This window comes from Homo sapiens, chromosome 3 (assembly GCF_000001405.40).
Source record: "Homo sapiens chromosome 3, GRCh38.p14 Primary Assembly".
In the NCBI taxonomy this organism is placed as follows: Eukaryota; Metazoa; Chordata; class Mammalia; order Primates; family Hominidae; genus Homo; species Homo sapiens.
The window spans coordinates 44,462,855-44,490,361 of record NC_000003.12 but is presented as its reverse complement, the minus strand read 5'-3'; the positions used below and the strand labels follow the sequence as shown (position 1 = coordinate 44,490,361).

General features: G+C 42.2%; 1 protein-coding gene and 1 long non-coding RNA gene across 3 annotated transcripts in view, besides 2 other annotated features; one reads left to right on the top strand and one right to left on the bottom strand.

Annotated features, from left to right (window-relative positions):
• Nucleotides 1-5,333: 5,333 nt before the first annotated feature.
• LOC101928529 (uncharacterized) lies at nucleotides 5,334-12,672 on the bottom strand. Its single transcript, XR_940785.4, has 4 exons — nucleotides 12,153-12,672; nucleotides 11,693-11,780; nucleotides 8,634-8,752; nucleotides 5,334-6,502 (listed from the first exon to the last, which is right to left on the bottom strand). It is a non-coding gene; the product is annotated as an uncharacterized LOC101928529 (long non-coding RNA).
• Nucleotides 12,692-27,507, top strand: part of ZNF445 (zinc finger protein 445) — a 45,966-nt gene continuing 31,150 nt past the window's right edge. For both annotated transcript variants that reach the window (NM_001369454.1, NM_181489.6), the window contains exon 1: nucleotides 12,692-12,771. The gene's annotated coding sequence lies outside the window, so the exon portion shown is untranslated. The remainder of the gene's footprint in view (nucleotides 12,772-27,507) is intronic.
• Nucleotides 12,715-12,874: a silencer, noted in NCBI's record as "silent region_14264". NCBI's record gives its function as "represses an Ori minimal core promoter by ATAC-STARR-seq in GM12878 lymphoblastoid cells {active_cell/tissue: GM12878}" and the evidence as "EXISTENCE:reporter gene assay evidence [ECO:0000049][PMID:35858748]".
• Nucleotides 12,895-12,944: a silencer, noted in NCBI's record as "silent region_14263". NCBI's record gives its function as "represses an Ori minimal core promoter by ATAC-STARR-seq in GM12878 lymphoblastoid cells {active_cell/tissue: GM12878}" and the evidence as "EXISTENCE:reporter gene assay evidence [ECO:0000049][PMID:35858748]".

Genomic DNA, 27,507 nt, shown 5'->3' with positions numbered 1-27,507 from the left:
CGTTCTGGAGATGAGACCACCATTCCAGTATGCCATGTAGATGTGGAAACCACTATTATGGCTTTAGAGAAACACCTCTGTTGTATTCTGATATCTAGCAGGATTCCAAGCCAATCAAGGCCACCACATTTGCTGCCGCACAAGCTACACAGTAATGGGCATTTTCCCATGACATATGATGGGACCTTTTGTACTCCCTAACATTACCTGGTGAATGGGTTGATAGAATGATGGAATGGTAGAACTTGAAAAAAAAATTAGGAAGAAAAAAAGATGATGGAATGGGTGGCTCAAACAACAACTATGCAAAAGCCATTAGGGAGAACAACTTAGTGGGTGGTACCCCTACCTCACAAAAGCCATCTGAACACTAGACACTGCAGTGGAAGAGAAACACATCACTGCAATGCATGTTGGGAAATACTGAACTTGCAACAGGTGGAGGACCAGGCAATCCCTTGATTAGGCTGAGCCTATGAAATCCCAATTTGAGTATACCCAGCCATTCTTTTTTTTTTTTTTTTTTGACAGAGTCTCACTCTGTCACCCAGGCTGGAGTGCAGTGGCACGATCTCGGCTCACTGCAAACTCCACCTCCTGGGTTCAAGCAATTCTCCTGCCTCAGCTTCTGGAGTAGCTGGGATTACAGGTGCATCCCACCATGCCTGACTAATTTTTGTATTTTTAGTAGAGACGGGGTTTTGCCATGTTGGCCAGGCTGGTCTCGAACTCCTGACCTCAGGTGATTTGCCCACCTCAGCCTCCCAAAGTGCTGAGATTACAGGCGTGAGCCACCACGTCCAGCTCCCAGGCATTCTTTTTCTTCTTTCTTCCTGCTGGAAATCACTACCCACTAGAGCCACCAGTGAGCCTCCTGATTTAAATCTGGAGGCAATGGTACCTTTGGGCATTTCTTTCTTGTGGGACCCCATGGGGACAGGGAAAGCATTGACAGAATATTGAGGAACTAATGTTCCTCCAGTTGTAACCAGGACTTCTGATCCCAAAGTGGGCAATATTATAAGATATGCCAAATTTCTTCAGAATGTGATCTCTCTCCCCAGGTTGGATGACCAAGGCTGAAAGTTTAGGTCAAGTAACAGGCGTGATGGATCCCTGCATAAGTTACAGCCTCAGAAATCAGAATACTCTCCCCACGCCACTGGACAAGAGCATCTGGCTGGGGAGTTTCATGGGGTGGGGCATGTGGGATCATCAATTTTTACCTTGCTCAGTCTCACAGAAGACTCTGCCATGCCCGGCATGACAACATCTGGATAAGAAGCAGTACAGCTGTGGTGAGAAGGAAGCAAGCAAACAATGCTGGAGTTGTTACTGAAGTCTCTCCTATCCTATAATTCCATTGTAATGGCCTGGCTGTTACCCAGTGTCTCGGACTTTCCTCAAGCTATCACGCCTGGCCCAGTTCACATTCTAAGCTATCGGTGGCTCAAACTGCTGAGTGACTCCCTTGAAACAAGTCCGCATGCAGGCGTACGCTAGAGTATCCTGCTTTAATATTATGATATGACAAAAGGACTCCCATGTTGGCGTGGGCATCACTGACTTATATTGGCACTTCAGATGTGGATGTACCACATGTAGTTTTTCTCACCCTGCAACTATGGGGCAAAAACAGGCTGAGACTGTATATAAATGGACTGACCAGGACTATAATAACAAATGCCTGACAGGTGTCACTTGTGCCCTTCTAGGTTATGAATTCTTCTGTGGGCCTCAATGTCTATCTCCAGAAGGATCTTGTTGCCTTGGAATCCTAGGGCCCACTGTCCATGTCAACAACTGTACAGAGAGCTAGAAGGGACCTGCTCTGCTAACCTGCCACAGAATGACTTGTAGCACTCTCCCAGGAGAACAAACCAACAGCTGGTTTAATTCTGCAGTTCACATTCTTTTTTTTTTTTTGAAATGGAGTTTCACTTTTGTTGCCCGGGCTGGAGTGCAATGGCGTGATCTTGGCTCACCGCAACTTCCACCTCCTAGGTTCAAGCGATTCTCCTGCCTCAGCCTCCCTAGTAATTGGGATTACAGGCATGTGCTACCACGCCTGGCTAATTTTGTATTTTTAGTAGAGACGGGGTTTCTCCATGTTGGTCAGGCTGGTCTCAAACTCCTGACCTCAGGTGATCTGCCCGCCTTGGCCTCCCAAAGTGCTGGGATTACAGGCGTGAGCCACCGTGCCCAGCCATTCTTTTTTTTCTGAGACAGAGTTTTGCTCTTGTTGCCCAGGCTGGAGTGCAATGGTGCGATCTCATCTCACTGCAACCTCCGCCTCCCAGGTTCAAGCGATTCTCCTGTCTCAGACTCCCGAGTAGCTGGGATCACCACGAGTGTGGTGCGTGGCACCACACCTGGCTAATTTTTTGTATTTTTAGTAGAGACGGGTTTCGCAATGTTGGGCAGGCTGGTCTCAAACTCCTGACCTCAGGTGATCCACTTCGGCCTCCCAAATTGCTGGGATTACAGGCGTGAGCCACCATGCCTGGCCCAGTTCACATTCTAATACCAGGCATCAGTATATAGACTCTTGAAAAAATAGTGCACAACCTGTCCTTAACCATGGTAGAAATAACTAATGCTGCTGCCCAAGCTATCCAAGACCAATGAGGCTCACTAAACTAGCTAGCAAGGTGGTAATGGACAATTAAACAGCTTTTGATTATCTGCTAGTGGAATCATGCTATTGCTAAAACCTATTGTTCTGTGTATATTAATTCAGAGAAAGTAGAAACTGAGCTACAGAAGATCTATGCTCAGGCAGGATAGTTATCTGCTCTATACCTGCAGTCCCCTTTAGACTCATTTGTTGAATTCTTCAATTTCAATTGCCTTATTCTGGGCACTTGGGTTACTGGCTGAGCACCATCCTCTAGGGAGGCCTGAGTATCCTCCTAGCCCAGGTTCTCCCAGTGATCTTGTGAAGTGCTGTATCAAAGTGGCAGGGATTCTCAGCAAACTAGGAATAGAGAGTAACTTTCTCAACTCGACAGAGAACATCTACAAAAAACCTACAGCTAACATTATACTTGATGAGAACCTAGAAGCCTTTCTGCTAAGAACAGGAGCAAGATAGGGATGTCACCTCTCACCAGTGCTTTTCAGCATAGTACTGGAAGTCCTAGCTAGTGCAGTAAGACAAGAAACAGTAATAAAAGGTGTACAGATTAGGAAGAAAGAAATAAAACTGTCTTTTTTTCACAGATAAATGATTGTCTATGTAGAAAATCCAAAAAACAAAAAAATCCTGAAACTATTAAGTGATCATAGCAAGGTTGCAGGATACAAGGTTAATGTACAAAAGTCAGTCAATTCCTTATATATCAGCAATGAACAAGTAGAATTTGAAATTTAAAACACAAAACTCCGTCTCAAAAAAGAAAATTATACAAAATTAGCCAGGCGTGGTGGTGCATGCCTGTAATCCCAGCTACTCCGGGGGCTGAGGCAGGAGAATTGCTTGAACCCAGGAGGCGGAGGTTGTGGTGAGCCAAGATCGCGCCATTGCACTCCAGCCTGGGCAACAAGAGTGAAACTGTGTCTCAAAAACAACAACAAAAAATTACCATTAACATTAGCACCCCCCAAAATGAAACACGTAGGTATAAATCTAACAAAATATGTACAAGATCTATATGAGGAAAACTATAAAACTCCGATGAAAGAAGTCAAAGAACTAAATAAGTGGAGAGATTTATATTTAGATGTTCATGAATAGGAAGCCTAAATGTTGTCAAGATGTCACTTCCTCACAACTTGATCTATAGATTCAATGCAATCCTGATCAAAATCTAAGCAAGTTATTTTATGGATATCAATAAACTGATACCAAAGTTTACATGGAGAGCAGACCCAGAGTAATCAACTTTATTGACATAGAAGAACAAAGTTAGAGGACTGACCCTACTTGACATCAAGACTTACTATAAAGCTATAGTAATCAAGGTCACGTGGTATTGGTGAAAGAATAAACAACTGGACTAATGGAATAGAATAGAGGGTGTAGAAATAGGTGCACATAAATATAGCCAACTTATTTATGGCAAAGTTAGAGTAAAGGCAATACAATGCAACAAAGTTGTCTTTTCACAGATGGTGCTAGAACATATGGACATCCACATGCCAAAAACAATTTGAATCTAAGGCCGGGCGTGGTAGCTCATGCCTGTAATCCCAGCACTTTGGGAGGCTGAGGCCAGCAGATCACGAGGTCAAGAGATCAAGACCATCCTGGCCAACATGGTGAAACCCCATCTCTACTAAAAATAAAAAAATTAGCTGGGCGTAGTGGCGCACACCTGTAGTTCCAGCTACTCAGGAGGCTGAGGCAGGAGAATCACTTGAACCTGGGAGGCGGAGGGTGCAGTGAGCCAAGATTGCGCCACTGCACTCCAGCCTGGTGACAGAGCGAGACTTCGTCTCGAAAAATTAAAAAAAAAAAATTTGAATCTAGGAACAGATCTTACACTCTTCACAAAAATCAAGATGAACCATACACCTAAATGTAAAACACAAAACTAGAACACTCCTAGAACATAGGAAAATATCTAGATGACCTTGGATAGGTCTAATGACTTTTCAGATACAACACCAAAAGCACAATAATGAAAGAAATAATTGATGAGCTAGATTTTGTTAAAATTAAAAACTCTGCTCTGCAAAAGTTACTGTCAAGAGAATGAGAAGGCAGGCCCCAGACTGGGAGAAGATGTTTGCAAAAGACATAAAAAGAACTGTTATCCAAAAAATATGGAGAACTCTTAAAACTCAACAATAAGAAAATGAACAACTCAACTTAAAAGATCAACAAGGCCAGGCATGGTGGCTCATGCCTGCAATCCCAGTACTTTGGGAGGCTGAGGCAGAAGGATCACTTGAGCCCAGGAGTTCAAGACCAGCCTGGGCAACATAGTGAAATCTCCCATCTCTAAAATAAATAATTTTAAAAATCACCAAAACCTGAACACACACCTTGCCAAGAAGGTATGAAGATGGCAAGTATGCATATGAAAAGATCTTCAGCATCATATGTTGTTAGGTAATTGCAAATTAAAATCACAGTGAGAGGAGACACTGTGACACACCTATTCTGGATCTAAACACTGACAATACCAAATGCTGGTGAGGATACTAGCAAATAGAAGCTCTCACTCATTGGTGGTGGGAATGTAAAATGGTACCGTAACTTTGGAAGACAGTTTGGCTGCTTTCTTATAAAACCAAAAATACTTCACCATCTGATCCAGCAATTGTACTCCTTGGTATTTACCCAAATGAATTGAAAATTTATGTCCACACAGAAACTTGCACACAGATGTTTATAGCAGCTTTATTCATAACTGACAAAAGTTGGAAGCAACCAAGGTATCTTTCAGAGGCTAAGTGGTTAAATAAACTGTGGTATATCAGGCAATGGAATATTATTCACTGCTAAAAAGAAATGAGTTATCAAGTAATGAAAAGACATGGAGCCCAGCCTGGGCAACATAGTGAGATCTCGTCTCTATTAAAAATAAAAAAATAAAATTAGCTGGGTGTGGTGGCATATGCCTGTAGTCCTAGCTACTCAGGAGGCCAAGACAGGAGGATTGCTTGAGTCCAGAAGATTGAGGTGGCAGTGAGCTATGATTGTGCTACTGCACTCCAGCCTGGACAACAGAACAAGACTCTGTCTCTCAAAAAAAAAAAAAAAAAAAAAAAAGAAAGAAAAGACACAGGAAAGGTCAATCTGAAAAGACTGCATACTGTATGATTTCAACTGTATTACCTTCTGGAAAAGGCAAAACTATGGTAAAAAGATCAGTGGTTGCCACAGGGAGGAGGGAGGGATGAATAAGGAGAGCACAGAGGATTTTTAGGGCAGTGAAACTATTCTGTATAATACTATTTTATGGTTATCAGTAAACTGATTCCAAAGTTTACATGGAGGGCAAAAGACCCAGAGTAGTCAACTCAGTGTTGAAGTAGAAGAACAAAGTCAGAGGACTGACTTTACTGGACTTTAAGCCTTACTATAAAGTTATAATGATCAAGACCATCCTCCTGCCTCAGCCTCCCAAGTAGCTGAGACTACAGGTGTGCACCACCACACTATTCTGGAAACTATTCCATATGACACAGAATACATGTATGTGGATACATGTATTTATACATTTGTCAAAAACCATAGAATGTATAACACCAAAAGTGAACCTCAATATAAAGTCTTGGCCTGGCGTGGTGGCTCATGCCTGTAATCCCAGTATTTTGGGAGGCTGAGGCAGGTGGATTGTTGAGTCCAGCAGTTTGAGACCAGCCAGGGCAATATAGCAAAACCTTGTGTCTACAAAAATACAAAAAAATTAGCCGGGTGTAGTGGCTTGCACCGGTAGTCCCGGCTACTCAGGGGCTGAGGTGGGAGGATCGCTTGAGCCTGGGAGGTCAAGGCTGCAGTGAGCTGTGTGATTGTACCACTGCACTCCAACCTGGGCAACAGAGTGGGACCCTGAAAAACCAAAAACAAAACCAAACAAACACACAACAACAACAAATATATATATGTGTGTATATATATAACATATATATCTGTGTGTATATATTATATATATAATATATAGTATATATATAATATATATTACATATTATTATATATAATATATTATATATATACTATATATTATATATATAATATATAATTATTATATATTATATATTTATATATAATATAAAATTTATTATATAATTATATAAAATATATAATAATATAAAATATATATTTTATATATATATATATATATATACACACACACACACACACATATATACATATTTGGCTGTAACTAATGTACCACTGTGGTTTGGGATGTCTATAGGGGGAGGTTATGTGTGTATGGAAACAGAGTGAATTGGGAACTCTCTGTTCTTTCTGTTCAATTTTGCTGTGAACCTAAAACTGCTCTAAAAAATCAGGGTTGTCCAGGTGCGGTTGTTCATGCCTGTAATCCCAGCACTTGTGGAGGCTGAGGAGAGTGGATTGCTTGAGCCCAGGAGTTTGAGACCAGCCTTGGCAACATGGTGAAACCCCATCTCTACCAAAAATACAAAAATTAGCCAGTCTCATAACCTGGTCTCAAAATAAATAAATAGATTTTAAAAATAAGGGTTATTAATTTTAAAAAGTGACAGGAAGATTCTGTGAGCAAACCTAATCCATAGGGGTTGTTCAGGCCCCATCAGACCCAGCTTTGCCTCCAAATTCAGGGCAGATGGTGGTCTGCTAGATTCAGTATGTTTTATCTGCTATTTCAGCAGCCAAGCAAGGGTCAGTGGGTAAACTGCTGGGAAAGACACTCCTGCACAGCCTGTCAAACCTTGCAGTTTCAAAGAATGTGCCTCGGGCTTGGAACTTTTACTTACATGGTGATAAAGAGCCTCCACACCCTGTGCTGGGCTCACTGCCCTGTTTGGGAATATCTTTTCCTGTTCCAGGTTTGACATGTACTTCTTTGTTCTGCTTAAACATGTGCATCATATGGTACCAGCCCAACCCCACTGCTATATCTGTTCTCAGTGGGATGGGAATGGGGTCCCTCCCAGGCAACACACAAAGAGTGTATGCAGACCATCTGTCTGTCCTGGTTGCAGGGCAAGTCCCACTGGCCATGGGGAACCAATGCTCCCTATTGAAGCTGATCTTACTCTGTCTCTTCTCTGTTGAGTAAAATGTTCCATCCAGTGCTTGTGTAAGTCTTGTCTTTCTTGACAACCCCCAAACCTTCAAACCCTGCAGTGGCTTAACATCGTAGGACTGCTGGTTTTGGTGGTACTCATTTTTATGCTCTGCTGTCCTCTACCCAGTGGGACTTCTCTGTTGGAGGTGGAAACAGGTGTCAGTTGCTTGACACCTGGTAACTGATATACCCCAGGTCGGGAACAGTATCTAGCACATAGTGCATAATCAATAAATTCTTTGTGAATGAAAGAATTAATGAGTATAGATAGATGTGGCTTCTAGTACCCATACTGACACTTCCTATTTCTTTCTTCAGATAGAGAATAAGGAAAGCAGGAGGAGCAGGTTTGCCTGGGGCACAGGTGGTGAGTGAGTTGTTGGTGCCATTGGAATGATAACACATCATGAACTAATTCTATTAGTTGTGTCAAGTCTCGGAACTTCCACCTCCAGACTTTCTTTTTTTTCTTTTCTTTTTTTTTTTTTTTTTGAGACGGAGTCTTGCTCTGCCGCCCAGGCTGGAGTGCAGTGGCGTGATCTCAGCTCACTGCAAGCTCCGCCTCCCGGGTTCACGCCATTCTCCTGCTTCAGCCTCCCGAGTAGCTGGGACTACAGGCGCCCGCCACCACGCCCAGCTAATTTTTTTGTATTTTTAGTAGAGACGGGGTTTCACCGTGTTAGCCAGGATGGTCTCGATCTCCTGACCTCGTGATCCGCCCGCCTCGGCCTCCCAAATTGCTGGGATTACAGATGTGAGCCACTGTGCCTGGCCTCAGACTTTCTATAAGAGAGCTTTGCTCCCTCATGGGCTCTTGTAATGCCAAAGCTTTGCTTTCTAAGCCTGTCTGTGATACAGACTTATTACAGAAATCAAAGCTAACATGATTGTTTTCTTTCCCCTTACATTCTTTCTCTAATAAGGCCAGCACCCTCTCCTCTCTTCCTGCTTCTCTCTCTCTCTCTTTTTCTCTCTCTCTCTTGGCAACGGGTGTCAGTGAACAGGAGGAGGATCACTTCAGGGCCCTGAGGAAAAATAAAATTTTGAAGATTATTTAGTGATGTGATAAAAAACACTTGACATTAGAATGGCAAGTGAAAAAAAGGCAGGACAGAAGCAGTTGTCAAAAGATGAAATTACGACAAATTTAGTTTGAAGACTAAATTAGGCCAGGTGCAGCGGCTCACGCCTGTAATCCCAGCACTTTGGGAAGCTGAGGTGTGTGGATCACCTGAGATCAGGAGTTCAAGGCCAGCCTGGCCAACATGGTGAAACCCTGTCTCTACTAAAAATACAAAAATTAGCTGGGTGTGGTGGTGGGCGCCTGTAATCTCAGCTACTCAGGAGGCTGAGGCAAGAGAATCACTTGAACCCAGGAGGCAGAGGTTGCAGTGAGCTGAGATCGTGCCACTGCACTCCAGCCTGGTGACAGAGTGAGACTCCGTCTCAAAAATAAATAAATAAATAAATAAATAAATAATAAAGACCAAATTAGGTTTTGTTAGTGATTCTAGATTCGGGCAACATCTCATTCTATAAAATAGAACGGGTATTCTGATAAGCTGAACAGAGGAGATTGGCTTTATAAGCAGAAAAAGGCCAAAGAAAGCAAAAATAGGGAACCAAAGGCAGACTGGTTGGCATTAGTTATTTCAGATTACTTTCCTTGTAAGGATTAAAGCGGAGGGGCCTTCGTTATCATGCCAGCTAAATCTGGCCTGTTTGAGGATTTGGCTATTATCACAATAGAGACCTCCTAAGGGCCTGGGTTAGACATAGAGAAGATTGATTAGTCAACAAATGTTTATTGAGTACATACTATGTAGTCAGTGCTGTTCTAAGTACTTGAGGTATAGCAATGCATAAAAGCAAAGATTCCATAGTTTTTCTTCCTCATGGCTATGGTCTGACTCAAAGATTCTTTCACCCCCTCCACTACCAATAAAGTTTAAATTCGTGTATATTCTCTCCTGGCTTCCTGATCCTCTCTCTTTCTCTACTTTTATGTTCAGATGCAAGGAATATCCTCTGCAGAAAAAGATGGAGGGTGGAGGAGGGAGTTGAGTTCAATTTTTCATTTTAAGTCCTTCATTAGTACTAAATGCATCAGTATTTCTTTGATATAAATGATAATTTTAAAATTCATTTAAAGTTGGATCACCTTCTAAAATCTCATTAAAATGTATTTTTCAATATCTTAGAATTAGAGGCAGAAGGGGGAATTCAGAGAAGATTAATTATATGATATAATATGTAATATATTTCAAATGGCCACAATTACACATAATTTAACTGCTTAAACATTTGTTTTATGTTTTTCTTATAGAAGAGTACACTAATCCAATGGATCACAGTAATCACCATCCTCAGATACATTGCTCTATTTTATTTTCATCCTAATATTTCAACCTGCCTCCTTCAAACTACAGAGAAGGGGCTGAGTTTGAGGCCAGAAAAGGAGTGAAAATCCTACCAGGCCAATTTGTTTGCCCACAACTGATTCTTAGTTTTAACATCTTATCTCTTTTCTCAAGTCACATTCCAGATCCCCATCTCAACACCCCAATTTTTTCTTCCCCATTTCAAAATAAGAAGAAAAAAATTAAGGAGGAAATTTCCCCCTTCTGTTTGAAAGGCAGAATCCTGATACACTTTAAATTCCAAAACAAAGAAGCAAATGAACATGCAATCCTTTAGCATGTGGTTTTTACATGTAGCAAGGAATCAGGGTAAAAGGATAATTATCTACTTCCAGGTTCTCAAATGTTGGAATCATCTAGGGATTTTAAAATCTAGGCTTGTCAGTGTCTCACCCACAAAGATTTGGATTGAATTGATATGAGGTATGGACTTTTTAAAAGCTCTGAGGAGGATTCTAATCTGCAGCAAAGTTAAGAACCACTGATTTACATGCACAGTTCTTTGCTTCTCCAAGTGTGGTCCAAGAACTGCAATATGGGTACACCTGGAAGTTTGTTAAAAATATTCGTTGGTCCCTCCCCAGACCTCCTGAATTTGAATCTACAGTTTAACCAGATCCCAAGTGATTTGTATTCATATGCACATGAGAATTTGAGAATCTTACCTAGGGCTTTTACTAAGCAAACTGCCCCGATCTGAAAGAGTACAGTGCTCAGGAAGTACAGCTAGCAAGAATATGCCTCCTACCAGAAAAGTGAAGAAACCTCATGGTTATAGGCTCGAGTGCTGTGGCACTCGGAGAAATCAGGTATTAGCAGAACTTCGAGATTCAAGAAGCTGTATAGGTCTTAAAATCAGAGCTGCACTCCCAGTGGCTGCTTCCCGAACTTTGCAAGTGCTGGTGAAGCCAATTTGGTTGATCTGTTTGATCACACTAAATGTGGGTGCTATCCATGCTAACCACCTATCACGTTGAAAAACATCCAGTAAGTACATCCCAAACACAGAGAACCTGCTCAAACTCTTCTACGATGGGAAAATTTTGTTCTCAAACAAAACTTGAAAACTCTTCTCACCACTATGGGTGGTTCTGAGTCACTCAAGAACATTATATCGAGTGGAAATTAATGGACAAATTAGGCATTGACAAGCAGTTTCTATTTTCCTTTTTGTATGTGTTGGATATTTTCCAATTGCCCCTCCATATTCAGTCTCAGTCCTCAACCCTGCTGTGACACTTGGGAGACTGAGTTTCCTGGATTGCCCTCTGGCTTCCAGTTGAGTTGGGCCAATGGGAAGCCCTGGCAGGAGATCAGAAGAGAGCTGGGTTCAGGTTATTTATTACCTCAGCTTCCTTTGTGCTGGACTATGGCTTGGATGTAGCCCTCAACTGAAAGCCACAGTTTCTCTCAGATGGCCTGCTCCTAGGGGTGAGAATAGCTTCTAAATTTTGCTAGCCATGGGATTCTGCACCACTCCGTGTTGCATTTCCTTAACCCTGTCCACTTTGTGTAAATCGCCCCTTGTGAACTCTCCCCACTTACCTTGTTTGAATGTGCCATCTGTTTCTCTATCACCTTGTCACCATCTTCCTGGTGTTCAGGATCTATTCTCTGTTTCCATCTTTGGTGACTGGGGCATTAAAAAGGGGTGGATCAGATGAGTAAAGCAAAGCCTCAGGGCACAGATGGGCATCATCAATGCCCATCTGAAAGATCAATCGTCAACATGTTGCAGCCTGCCACTAGGAAGCACAAACCAGAGGACTACCAGGACAGCAGCTTGTAGCATGCCCTCCAATGGCAGCAGATGGCCTTATGGCTTTGGCTGTGCACCCTCAAGGTTCTCTGGCACTGGCAATAGATGACATTTGCTCCTACAGGGGGTGGGCAACCTCTCCAGGTTGCTTCACCTCCTCTTCAAGCAGCCCCTCCACCCCCTACCCCCAACCTACTCCTCCCAGATTCCACATATTATTGGGCAATGGCATCATTGTTCACTCACCAGGCGAGCCTAGTTAGAATTCACCCACAGGAGAAAACGAGTGAAGGCCGTGGGAAGCTAAAGTATGGTGCACCTCTGAGCTGGCTATGAACAAGTATTCCTGGGTATGGTGATGATGGGGATGAGCTCGTCTTGGAAAGGCAGGAGTTCTGGCACCTAGCTTCCCGTAGGATCTGGTTCCCCTCTTTGAAGTGTACCCAGGCGAAGAATGAGTGGCTCCCTTAACCCCTTCTCCTGGCCAGGACCAGTCTGCTAGATACTGCTGGCCCTATTTTCACCCCTAGCTTTGGATCCCTTTCTTCCCTGGAGGGAAAGAGGCCTTCAGGGCAGCCCCGCAGACACGACAGGAGGGATGCAAGAAAACAGGCGCGGCTGGGCATCCGAGCGTGGAAGGGAAATGTCCAACTGAGGGAGGTGAGGGATGTTGGACAAGCCCCGCCGCCCGCCGCACCGGAGCCGGAGAGAAGCAGAGACGTTGGGCCTCCCAGTTTCCTAGAGAGGCCGCGGAGGGCCCCGGGCGCCGACGCGCGTGCGCGACTGGAGCCGCCGGGAGGTAGGCGCGGGACGGGCGGCTGCGGTGGCGGCGGGTGGACCGATTGTCGCTCGGCGGCGGGAGTCGGTGAGAGGCCTGGCGGGGCGCGGGGGTGGGGGTGGCGGCATTGCGGGCGCGGGGCTCCCCGAAGTCCGCGGCATTCTCGGGCCTGCCCGGGCGGCGGACGGGGCCCGGCCTGGAGGCTGCGCCCGTGGCGGGGGTCTGGCGGTGGATCCCGCCCCCGCCACGCTGAGGGCGTATCTAGAACCTCTTTGCCTCCCAGGCGTCCGGGGTAGAGAATCTGGAGCCCGGGTTTCTCCGGGCTTTCTCGTTTCATCCAATTCTGCATATAAAGCGTATTTATCAGAGACAATTAGATAACACGGGAAAGTAGAAGAAAAGTAAAAGTAGCCGCAATCCTGAAATCTGTCTCCAGGCCTCCTGACATTTAAAATATCTGTGCATAATTCTGCACACTGACATCCATAAATATATATTACGAAATGAGAGCGTGCTCTTGCTTTTTAAAAAACCTGTTAGTATTATTGTGAGGAAACAATATTGTGCCAAAATAACACATAACATTTACCATACAATACATAAACGTTTACCATTTAACCATTTGGAAGTGTGTAATTCAGTGACATTAAGTATATCCATACTACTGCTTTTTAAAAATTATAATCTCCTGAATTTGTAGAATGCATTTGTTCTTATTTTGGCTAAAATTAGTGCTGGCATTATGACACCACTAAAACATTTTTTTTTTGGCGAGGATAATTAAGAAATCGTGTTTGCAGTTTATTTTCTGTAGGAGACACATTTGCATGAAGCTCTAAATGGTGAAGTGACATTTGTGCAGAAAAATAGCAAAATCTTGTTTGTCAGGGTGGTTATCTTTCACAATGAAGTAACTAGTATATAAAATGCAGTTTTTAAACAAAGGCAGAGCTCTAACCTGCAGCGATTGTAGCACACTCTGACTTGCACAGGCCTAAGAGATCAGAGTATTGTCTCCTTCCGAATTTAAAAGTGGTGGCCAGGAAAGAATGTTATTCTGTTTCAAACGGCTTGTAGTGCAAAACTAAAAACTCAGTATTAGGTTGGTTGTTTTGCAAGGAAGTGCCAGGGAGTGGTTTGAGCAGTAATTTGATTAAGCAGTTTCAGAGAGCCTCCATGTGTTGTGTGTGTGTCTGCGTGTGTGTGTGTGCATGCATGTGTGTGCATATTCAGGGACCAAAGAATTAGGCTGCTCTTTTATGTTATCTTAATGAAAGGCAGACACATTTTGGTTAGAAAAAAAAAAAAGTCTTACTGTAAGCCGAAAAGATGAGAATGTTTTGAAGATAAACCTCAGTATGCACTTAAAAAGGAAACTGACAAAAAGCATGAAAAATGGCAAGTATTCCACCGCTAGGTTTTCTCTGGCTTCCGGTATCCAGGAAGAATTAGTGCATAAGCAGTCTACGATGTCAGAGAGTAAACTATAGTAAAACATAACACTGTATTTTGCAATTTTCAAGATTTTGTATTAGAAACAATGTGAAAGAGTACATTTCTGTGACTCTCAGGCGAATTGTTAGGTGTTCTGTAAGATTGAATTTATGAATTTCTTTTTTTCCTTCCTATTCTTAAATTTATTTTCTTTTTCCTTGTTTATTTTATTTATTTTATTTTTGAGACGGAGTTTCACTCTTGTTGCCCAGGCTGGAGTGCAGTGGTGCAAACTCGGCTCACTGCAGCCTCCGCCTCCTGGGTTCAAGTGATTCTCCTGCCTCAGCCTCCCAAGTAGCTGGGATTACAGGTGTGTGCCACCACGCCCAGCTAATTTTTGTATTTTAAGTAAAGACGGGGTTTCACCGTATTGGTCAGGCTGGTCTCGAACTCCCGACCTCAGGTGATCTGCCTGCCTCAGCCTCCCAAAATGCTGGGATTACAGGCGTGAGCCACCGTGCCCGCCTCTTGTTTTATATTACTATGTAGCAGCTGTCACTGTTTAGCATACCACGAATCTGTCTCCTCATAGACGCCTCAAGGCAGTACTGGAACATACAGTAGGTTCTCAATAAATATATGACAAATTAATGAAAGAAGGAATCCAAATTGGTAGATAAAAATTGACAGTATTAAATGTCCTCGATTTTTAAGAGCCACTTACCAAGTTAATCTTTAATACCTGGCTGAGCATGGTGGCTCATGCCTGTAATCCCAGCACTTTGGGAGGCTGAGGTGGGTGGGTCACCTGAGGTCAGGAGTTCAAGACCAGCCTGGCCAGCATGGTGAAACCCCATCTCTACTAAAAATACAAAAAATTAGCTGGGCATGGTGGCGGGCACCTGTAATCCCAGCTACTTGGGAGGCTGAGGCAGGAGAATTGCTTGAACCCAGGAGGCGGAGGTTGCAGTGAGTGGAGGTCACGCCATCGTACTCCAGCCTGGGCAACAAGAGTGAAACTCCGTCTCAAAAAAACAAAACAAAACCTGTAATACCTAAAATGGAAATAAATCAGATAAAAATGATGATGACTGAATGACTGGAACTTCTCAATGTAAGATAAGACAAACCTTTTTTTTGAGACAGAGTTAACGCTCTTTCACCCAGGCTGGAGTGAAGTGGCATGATCTCAGCTCACTGCAACCTCTGCCCCGCCCCATCCCCTTTGAACAATTATCCCTCCTTAGCCTCCTGAGTAGCTGGGATTACAGGCATGCGCCACCACGCCCAGCTAATTTTCATATTTTTAGTCTCAAACTCCTGACCTCAGGTGATCCACCTGCCTCGGCCGTCCAAAGTACTAGGATTACAGGTGTGAGCCACCGCGCCTGGCCAGCAAACTTTTTATTTGGAATAATTGTAGACTTTCAGAGTTCTCTTACACCTTTTACCTAGTTTGTCTCAAGTTGCTATCTTGGATTACCATAGTACGTTCATCAAAATTAAAAAATTTACGTTGGTACAGTACTATTAATTAAACTGCAGACTTTTAAAAGTTTATTTAAGCATTCTTTTTCTGTTGTAGGCTCCAATCTAGAATTCCTCATTACGTTTAGTTGTCATGTCTACTTGGTCTGCTTCAATCTGTGACAGTTACTTAGTCTTTCAAAACACTTCTGAAGAAGTGTTTTATATTTGTTTTTTTGTTTGTTCTGTTTTTTGTTTGTTTGAGACGGAATTTTGCTCTTGTTGCACTGGCTGGAGTGCAATGGCGTGATCTCGGCTCACCGCAACCTCCGCCTCCCAGGTTCAAGTGATTCTCCTGCCTCAGCCTCTCGAGTAGCTGGGATTACAGGCATGTGCCACCAGGCCTGGCTAATTTTGTATTTTTAGTAGAGGCAGGGTTTCACCATGTTGGTCAGGCTAGTCTCAAACTCCCGACCTCAGGTGATCTGCCCACCTCAGCCTCCCAGAGTGCGAGGATTACAGGCATGAGCCACCGTGCCGGCCTTATATTTGTATTTTTATAAAGTCCCTCAATTTGGTTGCATCTCAAGTTTTCTGTCAAGTTTTACCACTGGAACCTTACTGTCTTTCTCCTAGTCATCAGTAATTATTTGGGGGAAGATAGTTTACTACTTTGCATATGAGATGCTGTTTCTCTTTGAACTTTGGTCTAAGTAGCATTCATTGATTGATCTTGCCTGCAGCAATGACTACTGTGGTGTTGGGATTTGACTTTCTCTTTCCTTCATTCCTTCTAGGCATTCATTGGATACTTACATACAATTCTCATTCATTCAAAGTATTAATTGGAATCTTTGTGAGGAAGAGTTATCCCTTCTCCCCTGTTATTTATTTATTCAATCAGTTATATTATTGTGTGCTTTGGATACTTATTTTATTCTTTGCACTAGAATGCAGTACTGTTGTTATTTTATTGCTGAAATTATTGTAGCTCTTTGACTATTGGGAGCTGTGTCTGTTTGCCCCGATTTTTTTTTTTTTTTTTAGTCCTTCCTTAGTTTTTGTTTTCTGGCACCCAAAACCCTTATATTTTTCCCTCCCCAGCCTGGCATCAGTCACTTCTCCAAGGATCCCTGTTTGTTGTTGTTGTTGTTTGTTTTAATTGGAGAATAGTATAGTATTTAGAAATCAAATTTTGGGCACTCCCATTATTAGTTTATTTCTTAATTGGTAAATGAATATAAATATTATTTTAAGGCTTTAAATATATACTGAAAGCATTTTTTGTGTGTGTGTGTGTGTGTGTGTGTGTGTGTGTGTGTGAAGTGGAGTTTCACTCTCGTTGCCCAGGCTGGAGTGCAGTGGCATGATCTCGGCTCACTGCAACCTCCGCCTCCTGGGTTCAAGCGATTCTCCTGCCTCAGCCTCCCGAGTAGCTGGGATTACAGGCATGCAGCACCATGCCGGCTAATTTTTGTATTTTTAGTAGAGACGGGGTTTCTCCATGTTGGTCAGGCTGGTCTCGAACTCCCAACCTCAGATGATCTCGCCTCAGCCTCCCAAAGTGCTGGGATTACAGGTGTGAGCCACTGCGCCCGGCCTGCATTTTTTCTTAAGTGGTGATTATCTTGGAAACCTGTTTGCTTAATATCAGTTTATATACCTTCTATACACTTACACTGGTAGGAAAACACAAAAATAAGAGACTAGCTCATGGGGACATTAAAAGGAAAACAAAGAAATTACATTGGCCATGAGGTGAAGAAACAATGTAACAGAAGAAAATCTCCTTGAAAAATATCAAGATCTTGGTTGGAAGTTTCCCTGTTCTTTTCAAAGCCATTTTCTTTGTGGGAATGAAACTGGGTTAAGGTATAAAGCTCTGGGGGGAGAGTCCTGAGAATAAGATCCAGCTCATGTTCCTTCCCAGTTCTGAGTGTAATTGTGATATAATCTCAGCAAGAAGATAAATGAAGCTTTTCTTCTATGCTTAAAAGCTAGTTGGGACTTGGGAGAAGCCTGTGGCATTAAGATACCTGAATTTCATTGGCGGGCTCAGCTGTCTGCTGAGGTAGCTGTATGTTCACTATGCTCTGGGTCTTTCATTCAGAGTTTGAGAGGCCCGTGAGGTCTTTATTCATGTTCATGATTGCAGAGGCTGAGCTAACCTTTCTTTGACTCAAGGACTGGAATCCTCACTATATTCACAGGCATTCGCCCTGAATTTTCTGTCAGTCTTCTCATCACCTCTTTACAAATACATTACTGCCAGGCAAGGTGGCATGCGCCTGTAATCCCAGCTACTCAGAAGGCTGAGGCAGAAGAATTGTGTGAGCCCAGGAGTTCAAGACCAGCATGGGCAATATAGTGAAACCCTTGTTCCCCCGTCCTCCTCCAAAAATCTGGAAGTTAGCTGTTGTAGGGGGGAAAAAAAAGTCACTGACCCTTTTGGACATTTGTGCAGCAGCTGCTTCAGAACAGTCCTGCTTGGAGACTTATTTTTGGAGCTAATTTGACTGTAGGTGTCAATTTCCTGAGATTGGTCAGTGCCATTTATATTTTTCACTGGGTACATTTCTTAAAAGTGTTTCTCTCTGGCCTCAATTTCTTTCTCTTTAACTTAATTGCCAGATTTATCTTCATCTTTAGCAGCATTTTGGTTCTTTTCATACTTTGGTTTTCTTTCTCTTCTGTCTGTTCTGCAAGTTTGGCCATGAAAGTCTCTCTTCTTTTTCTGTTTTTCAGCTTTCTCCTGATCAGGTGTTTCTCCTTCCCTTTTGTGCTGCTGGCACGCACCGAGGCTGGAGCCTGCTCCTCTTGGTCCTGAAGCTCCCACTGCTTCTCAGTCTTCGAGTCTCCTTTTATAGGCCTTCATTTATTTACTTTATTTCTTCTTTCATTTTCCCTTTTTTTTTTCCTTTGAATACTTATTCTTACTCCACTCCCCTTTTTCACAGCAAGGCTTCAGTTCTCTGCCAGAACTGTAGCAGCTTCCTCAGCATGTGTGATCCCTAATGTAGCTCTTTTCTTGCCTCTTCTTGGCCCATAGAGTAGGGCTGTAGTTTCTTTTTTATCCCTGGATGATTGCATGCCTTCTAGTGTGAGTCTTCTTTACATCTTAGTTTACTGTCATTTCTTTTGACAGTATTAGCAGCACTTGCTGAGAGCAGAGGACATTGGATAGGTATTAGTTCAGAGCAAATGTAGAAGGTGGTGGCTCTTTTAATTTCATAAGTGTCACTCCTTTTACATTTGCTTCACAGTGGTGGGAGATGGAAGGGGTCAGCATTTTCAGGGGATATGACCTTCATCTGTGACTTTGTGCACAGGGTAGTGGGGCCACTTTGCAACAAGTTCTGAGACCTGTTGTCCATCTCACACTTTTTGTAGACACTCCAGTTCTTCTCTCATGAGTCTTTAGTTTGTCAGTTCAGTGGCTATTTATGGGCATATTTGGATCCTGGAGTAGATTGATGGCTGTTACTGATGGATCTTTTCCACCAATAATGTCTGGGTACTTTTACTTCTAGATAAAGAAGCTTTTAGGGACAAGAAGATACTGATGAGATTGCTCTCTAGACTGAACCAAGAGTCATATTAGAGAAATTCTGGATGCAGGTGATCTGTACAGAGTCAGCTGATCCTGTGTCTGTGGAACATTAATGGCAGCACTGCTTGTATTTCTCTTTTTCTTCAACTTTTATTTTTTTTCTTCCATTGTTGCTGGCTACTCCTTTTCTTTGTTTCTGTTTTCTTTCTGGATAGGTTTTTTATTTTTGTTTTGCATGTTGTGTTTTGGTAGCATTTTGCTCTTCTTGTTCTCTACCTCACTTGCCTGTTTTTTTTTCTCCTTACATCTGTTCAACTGGAGAACATCCTTTTGTAGTTGCTTGAGCTGAAGCCATGGTTTGTACTCAAGTCCCCCCTCAAGAATGTGCTGTCCCTTCTACTGTGCATCTGCCATCTTCAATCCTACGAGTTGCTACTCAATTGCTTTGCTTCTTAAGAGAATTATTGATCACTTTGCTGTTTATAAATGTAATGGGTAACAATTTAGGCAACATAGGCAAATAAGGAAGGAGAGCCCTTTCATCCCACCTCCCAGAGGAAATCATGGCTAAAAATACTTTGGTAGTGAGGCTTAGGAGCTTTTATGTGCATATGTAAACTGCTTTGCTTTTCATTTGCTTTAAGACATAAATGACAGTATAACTATGCTTTCTAATAATTGCTTTTCAATTTTCTTTTCTTTTAGGAAATAGAAGACAAAAAAAATATAAAGTTGCTTTTAAATGCAATTCTCTACCTTCCTACCCCCACCACCAGTAAGAGTTTTTGTGAATCCTTCCAGGCTTTTAAAATTTCTTTGAGTAGTTATAGGTACATTCACATACATGCGTATACAGTCACACACACACACGGTTGTACGTTTTGTTTTCACAATTCGTATTTAGGATGTGCTTTCAAACTTAGCACATATTTTTGTTATTGTTGGGAAAAGCAGTCGTGCACAGTTTCTCTCTCCTTACTTGGCTGTGTAGGAGTGTCCTTGGACGCCAGGCATTGTGGCTCATGCCTGTAATCCCAGTGCTTTGGGAGGCCAAGTCAGGAGGCTCTCTTGAAGCCAGGAGTTTGAGACTGGCCTGGGCAACATAGTGAGACCCTATCGCTAAAAAAAAGTCAGGCAGAGTGAGGGTGGCACATGTCTGTAGTCTCAGCTATTCAGGAGGTTGAGGTGGGAGGATCACTTGAACCCAGGAGTTTGAGGCTGCAGTGAGCTGTGATCGTGCTACTGCACTCCAGCCTGGATGACAGAGTGAGAAAAAAGAGTGGCCTCGGGCCTGAGACATTTCCTTACAAGAGCGAAAGAGTCCTCACAACCTTTGCTGGGTTTAACATCTTGTGACTGTAGGTGTCACATCTTGTGAGGGACTATCTTGTTTTTCTGCACTTGATGTACTCCTTTGTTTTGTTTGTTTTGTTTTGTTTTGTTTTTGTTTTTGTTTTTGAGATGGAGTTTTGCTTTGTCACCCAGGCTGGAGTGCAGTGGCACGATCTTGGCTCACTGCAACCTCTGCCTCCTGGGTTCAAGTGGTTCTCCTGCCTCAGCCTCCTGAGTAGCTGGGATTACAGCTGTACGTCTCCACGCCTGGCTAATTTTTGTATTTTTAATAGAGATGGGGTTTCGCCATGTTTGCCAGGCTGTTCTCAAACTCCTGACCTCAGGTAATGTGCCAGCCTTAGCCTCCCAAAGTGCTGGGATTACAGGTGCAAGCCACCATGCCAGGCCTCCTTTGTTCTGTTTCTGAGTGCATGAATCAGCAGCCGTCATGCATGTTCCTATCTTTCTTCATTTCAGACCCCACAGAGGAGGGGTTAAGGTCTTTCTACTGCAATATGAAGCGTGTATACACACACCACCTGTGTAGACTGTGGAGTGGTTCTGCTGGCCACGAGGGACCAACACATTGCAAGTGGCTGGATCTTGTGAACCCTCCATCTCCATAAGTAAACATTGTACCTCTTGAGCTTGGTGGGGGTGGTGTCTTTTCTCAGTGACCTCAAGTCATACACTGTCTCTTCCTTGGGTGACACCTAGTTGCCTTGTAACTTTGGCTACAGAGCCTTATCACCTGGTGTACAGTAAAGCAGTTATGTTGATGTATAACAATTCTAGTACATTCCTTTTAGGTGTGTGAGTATTTCATCCTATAAAATGCTTTTTTTTTTTTTTTTTGAGACAGACTCTCACTATCCTCCCAAAATACTGGAATTACAGGCATGAGTCACTGCACCTGGCCAAATGCTACACTTTTATAACCTCCCAAGAGGTTCACCTTGCCTGCTGCCTAGACAGAGCTGATTCAAGATGGGAATTGCAATAGAGAAAGAGTAATTCACGCAGAGCCGGCTGTGTGGGAGACTGGGGTTTTATTATTACTCAAAGCAGTCTCCCCCAGCATTTGCGGAGCAAAGTTTTTAAGGATAACTTGGTGGGTTGGGGGAAGCCAGTGAGCCAGGAGTGCTGATTGGTCAGAGATGAAATCATAGCGAGTCACAGCTGTCGTCTTGTGCTGAGTCAGCTCCTCGGGGGGAGGGGGTGGAGGGGTGGGGGCGGGCCACAAGATCAGATGAGCCAGTTTATTGATCTGGGTTGTGCCAGCTAATCCATCAAGTGCAGGGGCTGCAAAATACCTCAAGCACTGATCTTAGGAGCAGTTTAGGGAGGGTCAGAATCTTGTAACCTCCAGCTGCATGACTCCTAAACCATAATTTCTAATCTTGTGGCTAATGTTAGTCCCGCAAAGGCAATCTAGTCTCCAGGCAAGAAGGAGATCTGCTTTGGGAAAGATCTGTTACTGTCTTTATTTAAACTATAAACTGTAAGTTTCTCCCAAAGTTAGTTCAGCCTGTGCCCAGGAATGAACAAGGACAGCTTGGAGGTTAGAAGCAAGATGGAGTTAGTTAAGTTAGATCTCTTTCACTGTCTCAGTCATAATTTTGCAATGACAGTTTCAGTCCCTCCCTTTGGATTTTATAACACCTTAATAAGGTGTAAGTTATGAAGGTGGGAAAAGGCTGTTGATTGCTCTGGCTTCTTCCTCCTGACAGGGGACATAGTGGGAATGGGAGTGAACCCCAGCGTGAGAAGAGTGGAACTGCTTTGCAACTGTCTGAGTGTACTCACGCAGGCTTGGCCAGGCGTTCATGGCTTGCATGGCTAGAACATTAGTATTTTCATCTGTAATTTTACTGCAGTATTTAAGTGAAACAGCCTACTATAAGGTAAATAATGAGTCCTAGGATGAGGAGTACAATTCCCAATTTTAAAAGCAAAGATTTGAAAGTATTAGTTTGGGGACTTCTAACCCACAAAGAATTTAGAATTTTGTTTAAACTGCAGAAAAAAACCCTCAAGAACAGCTACAATATTGTACTATAGTTTTTCTTTTGAAGCATAATTTTCTCTCTCCAATCCCCATTTTTATTAAAAACAAATCATGATAGGACTGATTTGTTTACAAAATAAACTTTAGCCTTACTGTGCTTGGCCTGATTATTTGCATAAAGTGCAGCAAGAATAATTATTTTTCACTTAGGCTTTTTAAGTTGGTTTTGATAGAACTCTGTTCCATGAAGAATCTCAGATAAGACTTTTTAAAAGCTGAGCCCAGCTGTGGATTTGTACTCTCAAATACCTATGAGTTGGGCAAATTTCTCTCCTCTTGAGGTCCCAAGATAACTTGGGGTTCCTGGGCCTGTTAGCAAGTGACATTCTTTACTTACCACGGGTTGTCAGGAAGCTTGTACAGAGACTCTGTGTGGACAAGGTATGAGGCCAGATTCCCCAACAGGCTTTAATTGGCTCTATAAGTCAACTTTGATTCTTTAAAGGAAGCATGATTTCTCCAGCTGTGTCCTGTTACAAAAGAAAACAGATTCTTATTGCACTAAAGCAATGAACTATACTGCCATAAATTGAGAATATTCACATATAGTTTCCAAATTCTGGATAAATCAGGTAGAAAGGAACAAATATGCTCCAAATTTTGTTCACAGGATTATATTTTACTTGTTAAAAGTTGCAAATAGCTCTAAAGAAATAAGTTCTCTTAACTCTGAAAACAAAACGTTTAGCAATGTTTAACACATTAGCTTTCCGTGAGAGTCCTAGAAGCTTGTTTTATTCTCTATTCCAATAGCACAATTTTTAAAGTTATCTGAGACTGGCACTTAGAGTCCTATATCTGATTATAAACTGCCTTTTGAAAAGGACCAAAGCAAGACAAAATACCTGTGGATGACAAAAATGTATAGCCACTATGAAAGCTACAATTGACTAGGAATTTTGGTTACTTCTGTGGCATACAGCAATTTTACATAACAATTATAATAATGTACACTAAATTATGTCAACATTATAGAAGTTTCCCATAATTTTGGAACACATACTGATAACATATTTAAACAAATACAGTCCAAAGTAAACCAAACACCATTCATCTATTTGAAAGTGTTTATTCTAATGTTACAATCTCCAGAGTTAATTAATCAGAATCCTGCATTTAAGAGCACCTGTTAAATTTTATACCTGCTTATAAAACCATCTTTTAAAGAGGACCAAAATGAGACAATTGTCCGTGGATGACAAAAGCATTTTAGGGCAGCCACAGTTAAAGACACGATTGACAAGGAAATTTGCCACCTCCATGGCATACAGTGTGTTAACATAATTATAATTATTACTGATAACATATACTGAGTCATATTAGAATTATAAGGGTTTTACATAATTTCATAACATATACTAATAACACATTTACACAAATGTAGACCAAAGAAAGCCAAACACCATTTCATATTTGACAATGCTTCCTGTATGATTTTTGCACCAAATAAGCCAAATGTCATTTTTGGACTTTAGAGGACCTAATATCTAAAATATTAGGTTAGAAAGAGACATAATTTATAATTTGATTTTGGAAAGTTTGTCAAGTAGCAAAGGTTTAAAACACTGGATATCACAAAATAGAATCCCAGGTCACCATAAATCATTCTTTGGCCAAAATGATAACTCCAAAAAAAATTTTTTTTAAAAAAGAAAAACCTTTACTCTGATAGAGGAGACTTAGCTTTCCAAAGAAGACCCAGTGAAGATAGCTTGAGGCCAACTGAATCTCTCTTCTCTCCATTTTTTCCCTGCCATTTACCCAAAGGAGAAAACAAGACCCTTTTATTATCTTTTAACATTAATTAAAAATCATCTTCAAAAGAGAAAACCAAATTTCATGTTTGCATTAATGCATCTTTAATGTTAAAGCTAGTTTGTTTGTTTGTTTGTTTTGTTTTTTGGTTTTTTTTTGAGACGAAGTCTTACTCTGTAGCCCAGTCTGGAGTGCCATGGCATGATCTCGACTCACTGCAACCTCCGCCTCCCAGGTTCAAGCGATTTGCTTGCCTCAGCCTCCAGAGTAGTTGGGATTACAGGCGCGTGCCATTGCACCCGGCTAATTTTTTGTATTTTTAGTAGAGATGGGGTTTCACCATGTTGGCCAGGCTGGCCTTGAACTACCAACCTCAGGTAATCCTCCTGCCTCAGCCTCCCAAAGTGCTAGGATTACAGGTGTGAGCCACCACTCCCAGCCTAAAGCTAGTTTTTTAAATAAAAGTTTATATCTCTATCCAGTAGTTAGTTTAACCATAAGGTAAGATTTTCATAAACTTTTTAGACCCCTTTACAATTTTCCATCAAACAGCAGATCAGTTTTCTAAGAAAACCCTGTTATTCGGACACTTGGGCCCAGATTTTGGCCCCACATCAGTATCATTTTAATTTTTTAACCTGTGGAAAACTAAATAATTTCTTTTAAATCTTAGCCAACTTGTTTACACCCACATAATTTTTACAAGATCAACCCTTTACAAACCCTTTTGACTTTGCTTAAACCTTCAGTTTTGTTCCATTCCTCTTTTAGGTTAAGACAATCCTTAAAACCTTCTGAAATAGACAAAATTACATTCCCTTTAACAAAAGCCATATTCCCATGCCTTCTTATAATCTTTTAACAAAAACACATTTCCTACACACCTTGTATGTAAAACTATTTCTCCAGTGGTCTCAATTAAATGTTACAATGTTAGCTCTTAGCAAATTTTATTTTTAGTGAAAAACCTGATAAGTAAGCGATTTTTTTTTTTTTTTTTTTTTTTAGGCGGAGTCTCACTCTGTCGCCCAGGCTGGAATGCAGTGGTGTGATCTTGGCTCACTGCAACCTCCGCCTGCCGGGTTCAAGCAATTCTGCTGCCTCAGCCTACCGAGTAGCTGGGACTACAGGCGCATGCCACCATGCTCAGCTAATTTTTAGTAAGAGACGGGGTTTCACCATGCTGGCCAGGCTGGTCTGGAACTCCTGACATCGTGATCTGCCCACCTCGGCCTCCCAAAGTGCTGGTATTACAGCCGTGAGCCACTGTGCCCAGCTTGGGGTGGAGCCTAGGATATCAGACAGAAATGATGATAAGGTCTGACTCTTTTTAGCATAGCCAACGGGCATGGCTCTCCATATGTCCCAAGGCCTTATCTGTAATCTAATGCTCCAAAATAGGTAAATTGAACAATTCTCAGAAGTCAAAGAAACAATTTGACCTTAAAGCATTTGGCAAATCTGATATCTTAATTTAGACCAAATGTTTCCATTTTCAAGACATTTTATTTTATCAGTCTTTAAAACTGTCTTCTAAAAGAATACTAAAGCCACGTGAACGAAAAGGCATTAAAAGTTTCTATTTTTCTGACAAAATATTTGATTTAAACGTTTACTTTCCTAAGCCAATCAGAGCTCTTTTGTATATAAACATACAACATATAGAAATACACAGAAGATTCAGCCCTTGTAAGATTTTTCATTTGCCAGTTTCTTTATTGGATTACTGGCTTCAGAATTGAGCCCTTGGAGGAACAGGGCCAGGAAAGCATGTATTTCTAGGGCCACATAAGCAGCAAATAAGCAGCTGAAGGCAAAGACAGATCCCCAAAATTAAGGGTGCCTTTTTATACTGGATCCTGGATCCCCAAAATAAGGGAAATACTACAGGAGAAGACAGTGCAGTGCTGCTGCTGCTGTTTTTTTTGTTTGTTTGTTTGTTTTTTGAGATGGAGTCTCACTGCGACATCCAAGCTGCAGTGCAATGGTACGATGTCAGCTCACTGCAACCTCCACTTCCCAGGTTCAAGCGATTGTCCTGCCTAAGCCTTCCAAGTAGCTGCGACTACAGGCACGCACCACTACGCCTGGCTAATTTCTGCATTTTAGTAGAGACGAGGTTTCACCGTATTGGCCAGGCTGGTCTTGAACTCCTGACCTCAAGTGATCGCCCACCTCAGCCTCCCAAAGTGCTGGGCTTACAGGCATGAGCTACCATGACCAGTCGACAGTGCAGTGCTTCTACGCTGCATTTCATTGCAAGGCAACCCAAACCCAATTATCCCATTTTGTAATCAGCCCATCTCTTGTGGGAGTCTCATCTCCCAGTTCTGGGTGGGGATGTTTCCTTATCTTCCAGGTGGCCAAGAGCATGCTTTTCTGATCCAAGTGTGCAGAGTCAAGTATCCCTCCATAACTACTCTTAGCCATCCCTTAAAGTATATTTCCTACTTAGTTATTACACACCAAAGCTCTCTCATAATGCGAAGTAATTTCTGATACCCCAAAACTCAAAACCATCAGATAACACAACGCAAAACAGAACAGAGCGTTTGATTTTGAAAGGGATCTATCAGTTTTTAATTCCTGTGGTTTCATGAGGAAAACAGAGGTGGTTTGTTTGTTTGTTTCCCCCAAAACGGGGTCTGTGGTGCCTCCTCTGTTTTTCCCAATGAGTCCCAGGCTACCAGAAGTTATCTTAGGGCCTCTCATCTGTGCATTAAGAGTGGCAAGACAGGCTGGGCTCAGTGGCTCACACCTGTAATCCCAGCACTTTGGGAGGCTGAGTCAGGCAGATCACCTGAGGTCAGGAGTTCAAGACCAACCTAGCAACATGGTGAAACCCCATCTCTACTAAAAATACAAAAATTAGCTGGGTGTGGTGGCAGATGCCTGTAATTCCAGCTACTTGGGAGGCTGAGGCAGAAGAATCTCTTGAGCCTGGGAGGCAAAGGTTGCAGTGAACTGAGACCGTGCCATTGTACACCAGCCTGGGAAACAGATTGAGACTCTGTCTCATACACACACACACACACACACACACACACACACACACACACAAAGAAAAAAATAATTCAGTTGACTGAGAAGAAAAAATCTTTTTCCAGTAAAACAAGTTCCAAGAAGAAAAAAAAAAGGCCTTTTAAATATACCTACAGCTTGTTTATCCACTTTTAATTAAGCTTTTAACCATAGCACTCTTAAAAAAAATTCTTCA